At 59.0% G+C, this 1906-nt stretch overlaps 1 annotated feature.

Moving 5' to 3' along the window:
- Window positions 875-1768: an enhancer, noted in NCBI's record as "H3K27ac-H3K4me1 hESC enhancer chr8:145701473-145702366 (GRCh37/hg19 assembly coordinates)". NCBI's record gives its function as "activates a minimal SCP1, AML or CMV promoter by ChIP-STARR-seq in naive H9 embryonic stem cells {active_cell/tissue: H9 hESC(naive)}" and the evidence as "EXISTENCE:reporter gene assay evidence [ECO:0000049][PMID:30033119]".

Genomic DNA, 1906 nt, shown 5'->3' with positions numbered 1-1906 from the left:
GCGAGTCCTCCGCGGCTGGGACCTCCTTGGGGCGTGGGTGGGACGGGAATGGCTCAAAGTGCTCCAAGGCTCCCGGGACGGTGGTCATTGATTTATGCTGGACAAAACCGAGTCATCGCGGGCAACGGGACGGGCGCCAGCGGAATGGGTGGCAGCTTTGGGGGTGGTTTCGGGCCCAGGACAGTGCGGTCGGAGAAGAGCGGTCAGAACTTGGGGAGCCTCCAGCGCCCCACCAAGGAAGCGCCAGTGGAGAGGGGGGTGCCTTAAAACTTACGGGAGACCGGGCGCGGTGTCTCACGCCTGTAATCCCAGCACTTTGGGAGGCCGAGGCGGGCAGATCACGAGGTCAGGAAATCGAGACCATCCTAGCTAACCTGATGAAACCCCGTCTCCACTAAAAATACAAAAAAATTAGCCGGGCGTGGTGGTGGGCGCCTGTAGTCCCAGCTACTCGGGAGGCTGAGGCAGGAGAATGGCATGAACCCGGGAAGCGGAGCTTGCAGTGAGCCGAGATCACGCCACTGCACTCCAGCCTGGGCGGCAGAGTGAGACTCCGTCTCAAAAAAAAAAAAAAAATTATGGGAAAGGCCCGGCCCGGTGGCTCACGTCTGTGATCCCAGCACTTTGGGAGGAGGCCGAGGCCAGTGGGTCACTTGAGCCCGGGAGACCAACCTGAGCAACATAGGCAGGCCCGGTCCCTACCAAAAATTAAGAAATTAGCTGGGCTCTGTGGCGCACGCCTGTAGTCCCGGGACGCTGAGTCGGGAGGATCGCCCTAGCGGGGGAGGTGGAGGCTGCACGGGGCCCAGATCGCACCACTGCACTCCAGCCTGGGCAACAGAGTGAGACCTTGTCTCAAAACAACAACAACAACAAACACTTGTAGGAAAGAACGACGCCTTGCTGACCGAATGGGGTGAAGTGGCCACAAGTATTAGCCTCATGAGGCACAGGATTGTGCAGCCATAACCTAGGGAACACAGCAGAGAGGTGGTGGCAGGAGTCCTGAGGGAAACCACGTGGCGTCTGAGGGGAGAGTCAGAGATAGAAGGAAAAGGGGCACCACCCGACCGGGGGTGTGGGGGGCAGGAGCAGTGTGGTACCCCACATACAAGGCCCCTTGCGGCCCAGGCCTCCTCCTCCTGGACACTTGCTGCCTGTCCCTCCCCTCCACACCTCAGGGTGTGCTGGACCCCACCGTATGCTGCAGATTTTCAGCCCTTTGAGGTTATCATGGTGGAGGCTGCACAAGAAAAGCTGAATTCTCAGAGTGAAGGGCAAAAGCATATCCCTGGGCCCCCGTGTGTCTGGGGGCCCTTGGCCTGGTGCCAGCACCAACCACCGCTGCTAATTCCCAGAGCTGCTATCCTCTTGGGCAAACTTGCCCCTTGTGAGGGAGGAGAACCTGGGCTTTGGGGCAGGATACACAATACCAGCCTTGCTTGGGTGGAGGAGCAGAGATGGCTAGGGAGGAGGAGGTGAGCGGTCCACCTGGGCTCCTGAAGCAACTCCCAGGAAATCAGTTGAGTCAATGTGTCCCCCTCTTGTTCCTAGGGTGCGGGCTTCATGGCCTTCTCCTCCAGGAAGCTCCACCTGATCATGTCCTGGGTGGATATCCAGCCCCCATAGTTCAGGGCCTACTAGCAGCTGCTAGATCTTGAACTCCAGGAGCGCCCCACGCCTTGGGAGCTTGGCATGGGCTAAATACTCCCCCATTTGTTAAATGGGGTCCTGAAACCTGACCAGGGAAGACGGGATAAAGTAGCCATGGGTCATCGCAGCCCCTTTGAAGCCGGGCCTGGCCACCCAAAGGCAACTCAGGGGTGGAGACTGAGGCCTCAGGAGAAGCCCCCACTAGAATGCTCTCTGCCCCTCCCTTCCAGATTAACCAAAACCTGCTAATTGT

Source organism: Homo sapiens, chromosome 8, assembly GCF_000001405.40.
Source record: "Homo sapiens chromosome 8, GRCh38.p14 Primary Assembly".
Classification (NCBI taxonomy): Eukaryota; Metazoa; Chordata; class Mammalia; order Primates; family Hominidae; genus Homo; species Homo sapiens.
The sequence above is the reverse complement of the archived record's forward strand: the minus strand, read 5'-3'. Positions and strand labels throughout refer to the sequence as shown.